The following is a 14,370-nucleotide window of genomic DNA, read 5'->3' on the forward strand; positions in this document are numbered from 1 at the left end:
TGGACTGTGCTTATCTTAAATCTTACTGGTCCCATCTCATCCCTCTCAGACCCAAGATCCTGCCTCATAAGTAGCCCATCCTTTTCCCCAGAGGTAACTGACTACCCCAGGCCCCCTCCCCCAAGCAGAGGCCTTTTAACCTATGCCCTGGCAAAGTTAGCTTTGGCTTTGCCAAGACAGGCAGCTACCTGGCAGCTCATTATCATAACAATTTAGAATCAAGGAGACAAATGAAAGCCTGGCATCCTAGGCCAATTATATGAGACAAGATTAGGGCAGAGGACCTTTCACCTGTGTAAGAGAACGAACTCCTCTCTGGTAGTTTGGGAGCCCCCTATTCATGAAGATTCAGCTGTTTTTACAGGCTCATTGGGAGGGCCAGGTGAGAGCACCACCCTTACTTGGCAGTAAGACCCCCAGCTATTGTGGTTAAGGTATTAGGCACCTGGATGAACCACAGGCCTCCTTCCAAGTGTGGCAGCTCAGACTTACTAGGAACCACGGCAGTGGCTTCAACCCTGACTGATGACCATGAGATGCCCTGGGGGCTCTTAGATCATCCTGCAGCCCAGACCCATTATAGCCGAGTTTCCGGGGCTACATGAATGTTTCAGAGATCTTCTTTTTTTTTTTTTTTTTTAGCTCTTCACGTAAGTCTAATCTGCAGACACAGTTGACCACTCCCCATTCCAACCCCCAGGATGAAGCAATGCCCTAACTGCCCTGACCATATGGGTTCACCCAGGGGCTCGCAGGGTGAAAGCAGACTTTCCCCTATTCAAAGGGTAGTGTCCCTAGACCAGAGCGTCAGCATCACCTCGATGCCAGGTAGAAATGCAGAAATGCAGATTCTTGGCATTTTCACAAGATCCCCAGGGGATTCTGCACACCATAAGTAAGGGATGAAAAGCACTAAACACAGATTCCTGGGCCTCCTAAAGTGGAATCCCAGGGAACTGGCCTGGGCGTCTGTATTTCAGCAAGCTTTCTGCATCCCGGGTGATTTTTCGCGATGAAGATGGGGAAATGCTGGAGTAAAAGGAAAGTCAAGAGACCTGGGCCTAGGCCCGCTCTGTCTCCAGCTCACTGTGTGACCTGGGACAAATCGCATGCCCTCTCTAGGCCACAGTTTCTTCGTCTCTAAAGTAAGAAGGCTGGATGAGATCAGTGGTTTTTGAACCTTTTTATTCCCAGCTGGGGAAGGTGCTGTCTTCCCTAGGGGAATTTAGGAAGGCGTGGGAGAATTTTGGGGGTTCTCATAATGACTGGGGCTCTACTGGTAGCTATGGGCAGCAGCCAGGGGTGCTAAACATCCTGTGAGATGAAGAATTTTCCTGCCCAAATGCTGACAGCCTCTCCACTAAGAAACACCGCAGCCTTGGACAAAGGAAATATGACTCCAAGCCCCAGTCTGTGAAGCAGTTACAATCAAAGAAGTGGTGTTCAGTCCCCTTTGAATGAGCAGAGTAATTTTACAGTTCACAAGCCTGCATCTCCCATGTGTCTGTCACAGCTGCCCTGTGCAGTGGCAAGGTGGGGATGATTTATTAGTCCTACTTTACAGACGGAGAAAATGAGGCTTCTCAGAGGAACCCCAGAGCTCCTGAAAACCTCTTCTAGGTCTGGAGATACAGTCTGCCTGACTCAAATGACCAGGCTTGGCTGCACTAGCCATGGGCCTCTAGAGTGAGGAAGGAACACAGAGAGGATGAATCTGGGTGTGTTTGCACTGCAGAGAAAGTGGCTTGTTCTAGAAATGCACTGTGAGCTCCACCTCAGGGCCTTTGCATGTGCTGTTCTCTACAGCAGGAATGCTGGAATTCCCTTTCCCCAGTATCCTCAATACTTCCTCCATTGCCTGTCCCTTTACCCTTTATACTTTTTCCATAGCTCTCATAATCAACTGACACACACAGGCATGTGTGTGTGTGTGTGTGTGTTTTTTTTTTTTCTCTGTCTCCTCCCACTAGAATATAAGCACCAGGGATTTGGGTCTGTCTTGTTTCCAGCTGTATCTGATGTGCCTAGAATAGTGCCTGGCACACAGTAGCACTCAGTAAGTATTTGCTGAAGAAGCGTATGAATGTCCTCAAGACCAGCCCCGAGAAGCCACTAGGCCGGCGTGTCATCCCAGGAAGGTCACGGTTAAGCAGGGGCAGCGCCCGTAGCAGCTGCCAGCTCTGGAGTGAGATGTCATGTTGAGTCCCATCTCTACCACTTTCTAGCTGTGTGACCTTGGCTGAGTCACTTTCCTGCTTGCAGCCTTGGTTTCCTCTTTCATGACTAGGGGATGATAATATCTGCCTCTCAGGGCAACAACCTGTGAAAAGCACCAACGTGGGGAATTTCCCAGGGTAGGGGCCCAATAAATACGACTTCTCTTCCTCTTCCTTCCTGCAGGAAGTCCCGTGGATGTCTCTGCGATTCCTCATGCTAGATACAGCCAGCGCCTGTTGTGTGGTCTGCAAGTCAACTCTCTCCCCTGGCTGTTGCTCCATCTGCCCCACCCCTCCCCACCCCATCTCTCTTGGATGTCTGATTCCCACGCTCAGCCCCTGCACACACACAGACGCACGGGCCTCCCTGATACCAGACCTAGCTTGGGGCTCAGAATGTCTACACCCGGCTGCAGAGACCGGGGTGGCTACTCACTGTGCCAGAATTCACGTATTTCTTTTTCTTCATTTTCTTTTTCGGGTTTACCACCTGCAGGAAAAACCAGTTACCAGGTAAGGCATGCTTCCAGGCAGTCAGGGTGAGTCTTGAGGGCTTCCAACCACCCATGGGTGTGGTCCAAGCCCAGCCCCATTAGAGTGTGGGGTGTGAAGACCACGGGGCCAGGGGAGAAGGGTTTAAGGAGGATTTGTGGGAGACTGGTATTGAGTCTGGGTTACACAACTGGGTTCTCCCATCAGACCCAGGGTCCCACGATCAACCGGGAATATTTATTTAACCTTCTCTCCCACTGTTCCCCGGAACACACGCACCCTCCACCCAGTATAGCCAAAGAAGTCTTGATGTTGCAAAGCGGCCCTATCTGTACCTGTCCCTTGTGTTGGTTGAGGCTGCTCCCCTCACCAAAAATGCACCCCCTTCCTCTCTCAGCCAATTCCAATCTCCCCTGTTCCTCCTTTGGGACCCAGCCCAAGGGCTGCCCAGGGCCTCTGAGGCTCCCCTCTCCATCACCATCCCTCTTACTTGGCAGCAAGAACCTCTTTAGCTATTCTTTGAGTGTAAGCTTTAACTTCCAAACCAGACCTGTGTCAGATAAATCATGGGGCTAGGCTCAGAGTAGGTGCTCAGAGAAGGCTTGTTGGTGGCTAACTCAGCGGTCTCAACCAGGGGCGATTTTACCCCCAGGAACGTTTGGTAACATCTGGAGACGGTTTTGGTTTCCACAACTGAGGGGGTGAGTAGAGGCCAGGCATGCTGCTAAACATCCTACAGTACACAAGACAGCCTCCCACGGCAGGGAGTGATGCAGTCCCAAATCCCAGTAGTGCCAAGGCCAAGACTGGGCAAAGTGACGAGAGCCACCCAGCCCTGAGGCCCCCCACGAGACTTCCGCACTTACTGTATTTGTATTCTCATTTGACCCTCGCCAGTTTTTCTTTGTTTTGTTTTTAATAAGGGAAGTCTAGGCACAACTTTTCCCTAATGTCCCATCAAACAAAGCCAGGCAATTTTCATACCTCCTGTGCTGCCTGTTGGTTTCTGGTGAACTCATTTCCCCTTTCCCTGTCTTTGTTCCCACAGAGGCCGTCAGCTGATCTTTACCGTGGTCTCTTCTGTCTGGGTGAGTATTGCTATCTACTTCCAGCAAGAAGGAAACTAAAGCACAGCGACACCAGGTGATTTGCCTAAAGTCACACAGCCATCTGGGTAGTGACAGGATTAGAAACCAGGTTTCCTGCCCCCGGGCCAGTGGTGCATACATTGGTGCCACCTTGATAACAGATACAAACAGATCTCTTTGACATACATTTATGGGGTGGGTGGAGACATATATTGCTTCTCCCCTGGAATCATCTATCACCTATGTTGGAGAGAGAAGATATGTCCTCAGGGCAAAAAGTGACAAGGGCCATGGAACAAGGGGGATCACAGAAGTGTCAGGGGAGTTAGAGGAAGGAAAGACCACTCTAGGTGAGAGTGTCAGCAAAGCCTCTCTGGAGCAGGAAGTCTTGAAGGCAGACTTAGAGGCACAGGAAGGCTCTGGGCACGGAGAGATGGATGTCAGAGGAGGTTCTGTGGGAGAAATGAATAGAACCCAGGCCCAGTTTGATGGCAGAACCACAGGGTGGAAGAGTAAGCTGGGCTGGTTGGAGGAGAGCCTAGAATGCCCAGTGAAAAATGTCTGAATGTCACCCAGCGGCCTGCAGGGAACTCTGATGACCCCCAAGCTGGTAGGAGACAAAATCAGAGCAGGCTCTAGGACACTGGGGCCTGGTGGAGGTGAGTGTGAGGGGAGGAGGAGGCTCATCCAGGAAATATTTGCCTAGTTCTGCCACCTAATAATAGCTGTGTGACCTTAGGCAGGTTACTTAACCTCAATGTGCCTCAGTCTCCTCATCTCTAAAATGGGAATAAGAAGTACCTGCCTCCCGGAAAGGTATGAGGATTAAATGGGCCAATGCAAGCAAAGTGCCTAGAACAGTTTGGAATGTAGTAAGTATTATCTATACGTGTCTGTTGCTTTTTTCTAAGACGGGGTCTTGCTCTATGGCCCAGGCTGGAGTGCAGTGGTGGGGTCATAGCTCACTGTGGCCTCAACCTCCCGGGCTCAAGCAATCCTTCCAGGTAGCTGCCACCATGTCTGGCTATTTTTTTTTTTTTGGTAGAGATAGGATCTCGCTATGTTACTCTGGCTGGTCTCAAACTCTTGGGCTCAAGCAATCCTCCTGCCTCAGTCTCCCAGAGTGTTGGGATTACAGGCGTGAGCCACTGCACCCAGCCTTAGTTGCTATTTTTCAAAATTACTACTACTATTATTACTGCCACCATAAGTCCATGCGAGAGGTCATGAGGACTTGGGGGTATTGGGACAGGTGCTGAGCTATGGTGAGAACAGCGCTGTCAAGAAGTGACCACGCCTCTTGGGCCCTGGGCGTGGCTATAGAGGTTCGAGAGAGGGAGGGGTTGGGGTGACCAGGTAGACACAGAAGGAAGGCGCTGGATTTGGGGCACAGGTGGGAAGTTCACGTGGGAGGTCTGGCAAGCTGTGCAGGTAGAAACTGAGGGCCTGGGCGAGATGGTGAGAGAGCCCGGGAGAGAAGACCAGAGCACCCTCTTTAGCACTGGAGGACGCCCCCTCCACGGGGTTACCCAGATGGTGAGGTGCTCACGGACACATTCATGGGAAAACAGCTTAAGTAGGCAAGCTGTTAAGATGAGGGCAAAATGGCAGCCCCAGTGCTGCACTGTGCCTCAGTTTCCCAATCTCTCCCTTGAGGGTGTTGAACTATCGGAATGGACAGCATCTCAAACTTTTGCTCCAACATAGCCCTCCCAGCTGGGGAGAATGAACCCGGAGTCCTGAGAGTAACCAAAGATTTGGCCACAAGCATGTTTCTTCTAAGCTTTCTATGTTATCTTTAAATTAGCCTGTATTCCACATTTCCACTCTCTGATATAACTGCTTTAATGTTAAAGCAATGTTCTGTTCTCAGATCCCTGTTTACCCTGAGGTTTCATGCTCCCAGCCTCAGCCTCTCCAGCCCCGCCACGGTGAATCCCATGCAGGGGGCCAGCGCCACCTAGGGGCCAGCCGAGGAGCTGCCCCTCCACTAAGTCACCTCCCTTCTTCTTGGTGGTCAGGCGGGGACAGGACAGGTCTGGAATCTGCCCTCCTGCGCACATTAGGTGGGGTGGGTGGGGGCACTGAGGGGCTCCTAGGGGCCAGGAGCTGTGCTGGCTCTGGGGATGCAGCAGTAAGTGCAACACAACCCCCACCCTGAGGACTTCAAGGTCTTTGAGGGGTTGAATAGTGTCACAAAACAGAAAATAGCCAGAAGGAACCCCAGGAGCACTGACAAGTGTCCACTCCAGGCTCTGGGGTGGGGCGGGTGTGCAGGTGGACACAACTTCCTGGAGGAGGAACACCCACAGGGAGGCTCCGTGGACCAATAGCTCCTACCCAGGAGAAGACAAGAGGGAGTCTCAGGTGGAGGCACCCATATGAATCGAGCCCTGGAGGCTGAGACAGCACGGAGGTTCAGAGAGCCTCAGGTGGCAGGACGGGGATGAATGTGGGAATGGGCAGAGGGAAGGGGCAGGGGCCAGCTCCTAGGGGCCTCCAAAGGCATGTGATGTGTGTTTTTATTTACATGCACAGCCAGGCGTGGTGGCTCACACCTGAAATCCCAGCACTTTGCAAGGCCGAGGCGGGTGCATCACCTGAGCTCAGGAGTTGGAGGCCAGACTGGGCAACATGGCAAAAACCCATCTCTACCAAAAATGCAAAAAAAAAAAAAAATCGCCAGGGTGGTGGTGTGTGCCTGTGGTCCCAGCTACTTGGGAGACTGAGGTGGGAGGATAGCTAGAGCCTGGAAGTAGAGGTGGAGGTTGCAGTAAGCCGAGATTGTGCCACTGCACTCCAGCCTGGGTGAGAATGAGACTCCATCTTAAAAAAAAAAAAAAAGCACGCATACACAGATTGCGGGTGGCTGGCTGGGGAAACAGCATCCCAAATGAAAGAGCTTGGAACTTCACCCTGTAGGTCAGTGGATCTCAGCTGCGGTGGGAGCATCTTTCAGTATCTCTTCCCACCTCCCATGTGCGAACCAGGCTAAGGAGGTGGGTGGAATGCCCTACACAGATTTTAAGCAGGGGAGCGATGTGATCAGATCACTATTTTGGTGGAGTACGCTGGTTACTGTGTAGAGGACAGAAGGAAGAAAGGAGGCTGTGGCAAAGCCCCATAAGGGGGGAGATGATGAAGTTGGTGGTGGTGGCCTGAGATGAGGGGAACGATGTCAGAAAACATGGGTGGTAGGCGAGCAGTGTTTGCTCGTGGACTGGATATGGAATGAGGGATGGGGAAGTTAAGTATGACCCCTAAGGTGCCCTGAGCCCCCATGATGGGAATATTTGAGATGAAGCCGGCTCGCCAGGAGGACGGGAGTGCTGTGGGAGGTTTAGCTAATGTGTTCAGTTTTGGAAGGCTGAGCTACAGGAAGGGCCAGCAGACAGCTGGACATAGGAGCCTGACACTAGGGCAATGCCAGGGCCCGAGGCACAGGTCTTTACTGGCTGGAGCCTGTTCCCTTTTCAGGCAGTTCTGATTCTAGCAAGGCCTTCCTGCCCCAAACCAGCCTCCCCCTGGGACTGCCAGAGCTGTGCTCCTTTTTCAGCTGATGGCCTTCCGATGTGTGCAGACAGTGCTTCTGCCTCCCAGTGTGGCACTTTCTCTTGTTGATTACAAAGAAGCAGGGATCAACAACTGAGAAAACAAGTCAATTGAATGCTTTCTGCTCTTAGCCCGAGAGAAACAGCTCCTTCTGGGCCTGTCAAGCACCTTTAGAAGCCAAGCTCGGAGAGATCTGACCCCTTCCCTTCACCTCCCTAAATCTCCTCAAAGGAGGCCAGAGAATGGTGGCATCTGCTTCTCTCTGACTGGGGTGGGGCGGGGGAGCGGGGACAAAGACAGCTTCTCTCTTTGCAGATGCAGAAAACAAAGCAATGTACTGTATTAGAGCCCTTTCAAATAAATTCATCCACACTCCATCTTCACAATAGCCATGTTCAATCTCATTCAGCATGCGAATGTATAACACACCTACTGTGTGCCCGGCAGTGCCCTGGCCAGTGAGGGGAGGCAACAGACAGGGCTGTCACCTCACCAGCCCTTGGAAAGTCTAGTTGGAACACAAGACCTGCCCACTCAGAACCGACATGCAGGGCAAAGGAGTGGGGGTAGCATGGGATTTGGATTCAGTGATGGAACTCAAGGCCAGCTCTTCAACTTTGCTGGCTGAGTGGCTGCTAGCATGAGGACAGTGCCAGGATGGTAGGATGGTTGTAAAATGTGAACCTCTGGGCACACAGTGCTCAGCAGATGGTGACAGAAGACAGTGCTGACCTCTGGGTCAGGCATTGTTCCATTAACTTATTTAATTCTCAGTTTGCATGGCACAGAGTAGTTCAGAGACTTAGCCAAGGTCACGTAGCTAGTAAGTGGTAGAGTCAGGATACGAACACAAGCAGTTATTTGGGTTATAAGTATCTGCCATTAAGTGGGTTTGGCATGAACCATGATGTCTGTGGAAGTTCAGACAAGAAAGCACGGGGACAAGAGTGGCTGGGAAGACCTCACAGAGGAGCAGGACCTGAGCTAGATTTGGAAGGTGGGGAGGGAATTGCAAAAGGGAGAGCACACAGTAGAACGCGGTGGCTCAGGCCTATAATCCCAGCACTTTGGGAGGCCAAGGCAGGAGGATCGCTTGAGCCCAGGAGCTCAAGACCAGCCTGGGAAACATAGCGAGATCCTGTCTCTACAAGAAATTTAAAAAATTAGTTGGGCATGGTGGTGCGTGCTTGTGGTCCCAGCTACTCGGGAGGCTGAGGTGGGAGGATCGCTTGAGCCTGGGAGATTGGGGCTGCAGTGAACCAGGGCAACAGAGTGAGGCCCTGTCTCAAAAAAAAAAAAAAAAGAGGGAGAACACACACATGCACACGCATACACACACACGCACGCGCACACACACATACATGCACACACACACACACACGCATGCGCACACACGCAAATACATGCTCACACACACACACACACATGCAGACATTGTCCCTTGAGGGCAAATGCTACTGTTACACCTCCAGAGAGACCAGGTGCCTTGTCCGAGGCTCTCCAGCTCTGGGGCTAGAACAAGGAAGGTATCCTGACCTCATTCTCTTGAAGTTTTCATTCTGAAACAGGTAAGATACTCAGCAGGCCCTGAAACTGTTCTGATTGAAAGCACAAGGCCACCTCGAACTCAGGACCTCAGGTCTCAAGCCCAGAACCTTCGTATACTGGCTCCCATCGTGCTCCTATCTCTCTTGCTTGTGAGAACTGCTCTTTATGGGGACACTATAACTCGGTGATTTGGAATCAGCCAAGTCTGGGTTGTTTGTGTCTTGATTTTGCCACTTACTGAATGGTGGAACTTTGGGCAAGTTCTCGCACTTCTCCAAGACTTGGTCTCCTTAACGGTAGAATGGGACAATAACCCCTTTCTCACAGGAAAACACACCAAGCCCCCAGCCCAGTGCATGGCTCACTACAGTCCTCAGTGACTGGGCCACTTAGTAGTGCAAACCCTGGATTTCGGGTGCCCACCTCACCTCATAGATGTTGAATTGGCTCTGCCCACGGGCCAGCTCCCGGTAACTGGTGGTGAACTCCCCAATGAAGTCATGGCTGCAAGGGAAGACGGCTGCTGAGACCAAGGCCAGGCTGTGCCCTGCCTCTGCCCAGCCCCAGCCTTGCACACATCCGTTTCTTTGGCTCCCAATTCTACCTGGGACTCCACTCCAGGGGCACACGCCAGCAGACAGGCTGGGTCCGTGGGAAGAGAGCCCAGTGTTGCCCACAGAGGAAGAAACCCAATTGTCACCCAGTAAAGAGCAGGGCCCTGGAAGAACAGCACCCACTTCTACTTGGATCCTTGTTTGAACAAGGGTATTTGGGGGACAACTGGGGAAATTTGAATATGAAATGAATAGTGAATGGTATTTAAAAATATTGTGGCCGGGCGCGGTGGCTCATGCCTATAATCCCAGCACTTTGGGAGGCCAAGGCGGGCAGATCACCTGAGGTCAGGAGTTCGAGACCAGCCTGGCCAATAAGGTGAAACCCCGTCTCTATTAAAAATACAAAAATTAGCCAGGCGTGGTGGTGGACACCTATAATCCTAGCTACTCCAGAGGCTGAGGCAGGAGAATCGCTTGAACCCAGGAGGTGGAGGTTGCTGTGAGCTGAGATTGTGTCACTGCACTCCAGCCTGGGCAACAGAGCGAGACTCTATCTCAAAAAAAAAAAAAAAAAAAGAATATTGTTCAATGTGTCAAGTATGATAATGGCATTTGTGGGTAAGTGGGAAAGTGCCCTTATTTTTTAGACATTTTCAATGAAGCATTTAGAGGTAAAATGCCATGAAGTCTATAATTTAAGCTACATTAGCAAAACATAGATGAAGCAAATATAACAAATGTTAAATTCAGGTGATGGGATTAAAGGTGTTCATTAAACCCTTCTCTAATGAGATTATTTTTAAAACACAATGAGAGCGATGTCCAGCTGGGTGGCTGCAAGTGTTTTCTGCAGTGCCCACACCTTCTGGAGTGCTTACATCAAGCACGGCCAAGACTTGTACATGGCAGAACTCCCACTGACCCCAGGGTTGGCTCCTTTAACTTCCCCAGTCACTGCCAGAGGGCCTTGGTCAATGTGCTGGCCTGGGGCATCCAGCCGGAGACTGATGCCCAAGAGGTGTCCCTGGGGCCCCACCCCCCCACCCCCCACCGTGAGCCTACACTGTATTGTGTCTACATATTTACAGCTCTCAGCATTCTGACTATGAGCAACTTCATGGTGGGACCCAGTGGCACCTGGTAGCTGTCCCCAACTGGCACAGAAGAGGAGACTATTCCAGGCAAAGGAGTACAGGAACGCCAGGGTAAGACGAGGCAAATTCCAGGTGGAAACAATGAAGCTGACTGTGAGGTAGCTGAGAGGCAAGGAGGGGAGGGCATAGCGGCTCTGGAGCTTCTTGCAGGATGGTTGGTCTCAGGGGAAGGAGAGTTCCTTGGAAGGGGGCTTGGGTCTCACCTGGAGCTGCATTTGCATAGCACTTTACATAAGATAAAACAAACCCCCTGTCCATATCACAGACTTGGGAGGTACCAGCGGACACTGGGGGACCTTGAAGTCCTCCTAAGTCACTCCTTGGTAGTGCCACAGAATGGAAATGTCACAAAAGTCAGGGTGACATATTTGGATTTGGCTCAGCCGACAAGTAGAAGCCAGGGTGGGTTCTGGACTGAAGCTTCGAGAGGCCTGCTCTTGTCCTCCTCTATGGATTCCCAGAAGTACTGGCCTCCCAAAGACCCCGAGTGGGAAGCACCCTCCCAGCAGCCAGGGACAGCCCTACACAGGCACTGTCTCACGGCCCATGAGTCCACTCACGCCTCGTAGCTCTCCCTTCCCACAGCCCATTCCCTCAGTCCTGGCTCTCTGCAAACAGCTCCTCTGATGAGCCGAGGGCTGTACGGGTACAATTGGCCTCCCTGCTAGGTTGTGGGGAGTCTCTGAGGGCTGGGCTCCTCTGCATCTCCGTCACCCCACAATGCTTAGCCCGAGTCTTCACGCGGAAAATGTGTCCATGAATGCTTGAAGTTCACTGGTGTCTGTGCCCTAGAACATGCACTCTTCAGAAAGCCCTAAATTCTGCCACGCGTGGGGAGATTGTGGGTACTGGCGGGCCCCTGGGCAGCTATTTGGGAAAAAGGAGGCCTCTTATGCCCCTCACACCATATCCTGCAGGACAGAGGTGCTTTGGTGCCTCCGTGGAGCTGGATGGGGAGGAGCTACTGCAGCAGAGGACCCCTCCCCCACCCTCCACACACACGCAAACCCAGGCTCCCTCACCCCCAGAGCCACTGCGGGGGGGAGCCTGGTCACAGCTCCGCATGGGAGGGCAGGGCCCAGTGGCTGTCCCCATCCCCACTCACCTTCTCGCCCCTGCCCTCCTGCCTGCTTACCTGCCGTCCCGATCCCAGTCGTACACCTCCACCTTGATGGTCCTGCAAAACAAAGGCCTTTGCTGGGATGGGCCCAACCCCACACCCACGTGGCTGAGGATGGGGCCCTCTTCATGTTCCCGGACCAGATAGGGAGGCCAGGACTCCCTCTGGGCCCCAGGGCCCTGGGTGGGGAGGCAGCGGCTTGAGAGACAAGGATCTCTCTTGAGGCCTTTTAGGAAAGGCCTTAGGAAAAGGGCAGCCAGGGCTGTGTAGGGACTGCCCAGAATTTCAAGGAGAATGTGGGAAAAACAGCTGCAGACTTCAGTTCACCCCACCTTCTTCTTGGCCACTGCAGAAGGGGCATAAGCTCAGCATGGAGCTGCACTGTGGATTTACCAGGGGTGGAGGAGCGGGGAGGTGGGAGTGTGGTGCTCCCTGGATCTCAGGCCCCGGCAGGGTGGAGGGGAGGGAAGAAGACTGCTTGTTGAGGGTCTGAGGGCTTTGGGTGTGGGAGCCAGCCCTGCACGTCAGGGAGGAGCCCAGGGCCCTGGCTCGGGGATGGCCCGCTGAGCTTTTCCATCCCCACGACTGGCTCCTGAGTGAGGGTGTAATTATCTTCATATTTTAGCCTGGCTGCTTTAATTAGTTTGTTTTGACTCCTATGCATGCGGATGGGCTTTGAGAGCCCATTTTATTTTTAGCCACGTTCCCATGGCAACAGGCTAGCGGACCAGAGCTGGGAGGAGGGAGGTGGAGGGTTGCGGTTAACCCTTGGTGCCAGCTGCTCGATCCTCCAGGGATGCCCAGGGACAGGGGAGCTGCCAGGGTCCCACAGCAGGGTCAGGTTTGGGGAGGTGGGAAGGGCCTGGGGAGCTGGGGTCTTCAGCCTTCAGTTCTTAGTGGGGTGCAGAGAGGCAGCTCCCCGGGCCTATCTTTGTTAACATCCCATCATCTCGCCCATCTCCTCGGGCCTGCCAGGAGTCAGCCTTGGGCTTCTGTGGCCCCTCCAGGAGGAGGCGCTGTCTCCTTTCAGATGAGCATCCTCAGGACCAAGGGTAGGCGACAGATCCACCGCAGCAGGGCAGAAACTGTTCTGAATGAAGGAATGCCCAGTAGGTTGTGCACACACTGGATTTCTGTAAACCAGCACTCCTGTACAATGAGGCAGGCATGGAAGCCCACCATTTAAAGGAATCCTTTAGATTCTTGTGAAAAACAAAAAACCATGTCTCTCTGAGGTGAATTATTGTGGAAAGGAAAAAAAAATCACCTAAGCCCCTGAAGGTGGGTTGATGAGCTGGAAAGAGTGGAAAGACCAGGACGGCCCTACGCTTGGACCTGGGCCCCTCACTATGGGACCTGAGATGTCACTTAATCTCCCCGAGCCATAAGCCACCATTGAAAGGAGAAGTAATAACGGCCTTGCAGAACAGCTGCAAGAACAAGCTAGTAAGGCCCGCCTGCTGCATGGGAGGGTCTCTACAAAAATGCCTCCTTCTCTCCACTTCATCATTTGGCCGCGCTCTGATAGGTTTTTGTTTGTTTGTTTGCTTGTTTGAGATGGAGTCTTGCTCTGTTGCCCAGGCTGGAGTGCAATGGCGTGATCTCGGCTCATTGCAACCTCCGCCTCCGGATTCAACTGATTCTCCTGCCTCACCCTCCCAAGTGTCTGGGATTACAGGCATGAGCCACCACACCTGGCTAATTTTTTGTATTTTTAGTAGAGATGGGGTTTCACCATGTTGGCCAGGCTGGCCTCGAACTCCTGACCTCAAGTGATCCACCCGTCTCGGCCTCCCAAAGTACTGGGATTAGAGGCATGAGCCACGGCGCCCGGCCTCTGATAGTTTTTCGTATGAAATTTACTTCAATCAGGGACACTTGAGCCTAGGTACTTGGGCTTTGCAACTTCTGATTCAAGCCTGACTGCCTGGCCAAATCAGTGGCAGCTTTTCAGACACAGACTCCCAGGTCCAGCTCTGGGCAAGACTCAGGAATCTGTTTTCAAGGCTTCCCTAGTGACTGTGCTGTATGTGTTCCGGAGTGATGACCTCCACCCCACTGTCAGATGGGAAAATTGAGCCCTAAGAGCCTCCAGTGACTTGCCTAGAGTCACCCAGCTGAGGGTCTGAGCCAGAACAAGACCAAGGCCCTGACTCCCAGTCCAGGACTTCGGTCATGGCCCCACAAGGCTGAAGTCTCTCTACCCCTGCCCAGTGGCCTCCCAGTCCTTCCCCAGACCGCTAAGCTCTGCAGGGGACCTTCAGAGACCCCAGCAAAGAATAGCTCTCCTCTGACCACCAACACCAGCCCCTCGGGTGACTAGATGGGTGATGACCACATGCTCAGAGGCTGGAGGAGGACCCCAGTCATGGTGACAGCCCTGCATATCCACAAAATCACTGGGGAAAATTTTAATCCCAGGCCAGAGGGCCTAATTTAATTGGTCTGGATAGGACTCAGGCCTGGGTAGTTTTGAAAAGTTCTGTGATGGATTCTAACATGCAACCAGAGCCACTGACCTTCTCTAGAAGACAGCACTAGTTTTCAAACTTGGTTGCAATTTGGAATCCCCCCAAGAAGCTTTAGAAATACTGACACCAATGTCTTACCCGAGAGATTCATGATCAGTTGGTCTGGAGTGCA

At 52.5% G+C, this 14,370-nt stretch overlaps 1 protein-coding gene across 25 annotated transcripts in view, besides 5 other annotated features; it reads right to left on the reverse strand.

Moving 5' to 3' along the window:
- The window catches only part of CPNE5 (copine 5), a 99,224-nt gene that overhangs the window by 12,818 nt on the left and 72,036 nt on the right, over positions 1 to 14,370 (reverse strand). For 15 of the 25 annotated variants that reach the window (XR_007059285.1, NM_001376889.1, NM_020939.2 and 12 more), the window contains 3 exons: positions 11,743 to 11,784; positions 9,325 to 9,400; positions 2,653 to 2,706 (listed from right to left, as the gene is read on the reverse strand). Coding sequence is in view for 19 of the 25 variants with exons in the window: in NM_001376889.1 (NP_001363818.1) it covers positions 2,653 to 2,706; positions 9,325 to 9,400; positions 11,743 to 11,784 (172 nt within the window). In the remaining 6 variants the exon portion in view is untranslated. Of the gene's footprint in view, positions 1 to 2,652; positions 2,707 to 3,692; positions 3,809 to 9,324; positions 9,401 to 11,742; positions 11,785 to 12,120; positions 12,204 to 14,370 lie in introns of those variants that run through there. The other 10 variants (NM_001314020.2, NM_001376891.1, NM_001314018.2 and 7 more) reach the window with 2 other exon arrangements.
- Positions 1,770 to 2,969: an enhancer, noted in NCBI's record as "MED14-independent group 3 enhancer chr6:36723139-36724338 (GRCh37/hg19 assembly coordinates)". NCBI's record gives its function as "activates an origin of replication core promoter dependent on BRD2, BRD4, P300/CBP and CDK7 cofactors, and independent of MED14, by STARR-seq in HCT116 cells {active_cell/tissue: HCT116}" and the evidence as "EXISTENCE:reporter gene assay evidence [ECO:0000049][PMID:35650434]".
- Positions 5,655 to 5,844: an enhancer, noted in NCBI's record as "active region_24444". NCBI's record gives its function as "activates an Ori minimal core promoter by ATAC-STARR-seq in GM12878 lymphoblastoid cells {active_cell/tissue: GM12878}" and the evidence as "EXISTENCE:reporter gene assay evidence [ECO:0000049][PMID:35858748]".
- Positions 5,655 to 6,648: a biological region, named in NCBI's record as "H3K4me1 hESC enhancer GRCh37_chr6:36727049-36728017".
- Positions 5,680 to 6,648: an enhancer, noted in NCBI's record as "H3K4me1 hESC enhancer chr6:36727049-36728017 (GRCh37/hg19 assembly coordinates)". NCBI's record gives its function as "activates a minimal SCP1, AML or CMV promoter by ChIP-STARR-seq in naive and primed H9 embryonic stem cells {active_cell/tissue: H9 hESC(naive and primed)}" and the evidence as "EXISTENCE:reporter gene assay evidence [ECO:0000049][PMID:30033119]".
- Positions 12,139 to 13,036: an enhancer, noted in NCBI's record as "H3K4me1 hESC enhancer chr6:36733508-36734405 (GRCh37/hg19 assembly coordinates)". NCBI's record gives its function as "activates a minimal SCP1, AML or CMV promoter by ChIP-STARR-seq in primed H9 embryonic stem cells {active_cell/tissue: H9 hESC(primed)}" and the evidence as "EXISTENCE:reporter gene assay evidence [ECO:0000049][PMID:30033119]".

This window comes from Homo sapiens, chromosome 6, assembly GCF_000001405.40.
Source record: "Homo sapiens chromosome 6, GRCh38.p14 Primary Assembly".
Taxonomy (NCBI): domain Eukaryota; kingdom Metazoa; phylum Chordata; class Mammalia; order Primates; family Hominidae; genus Homo; species Homo sapiens.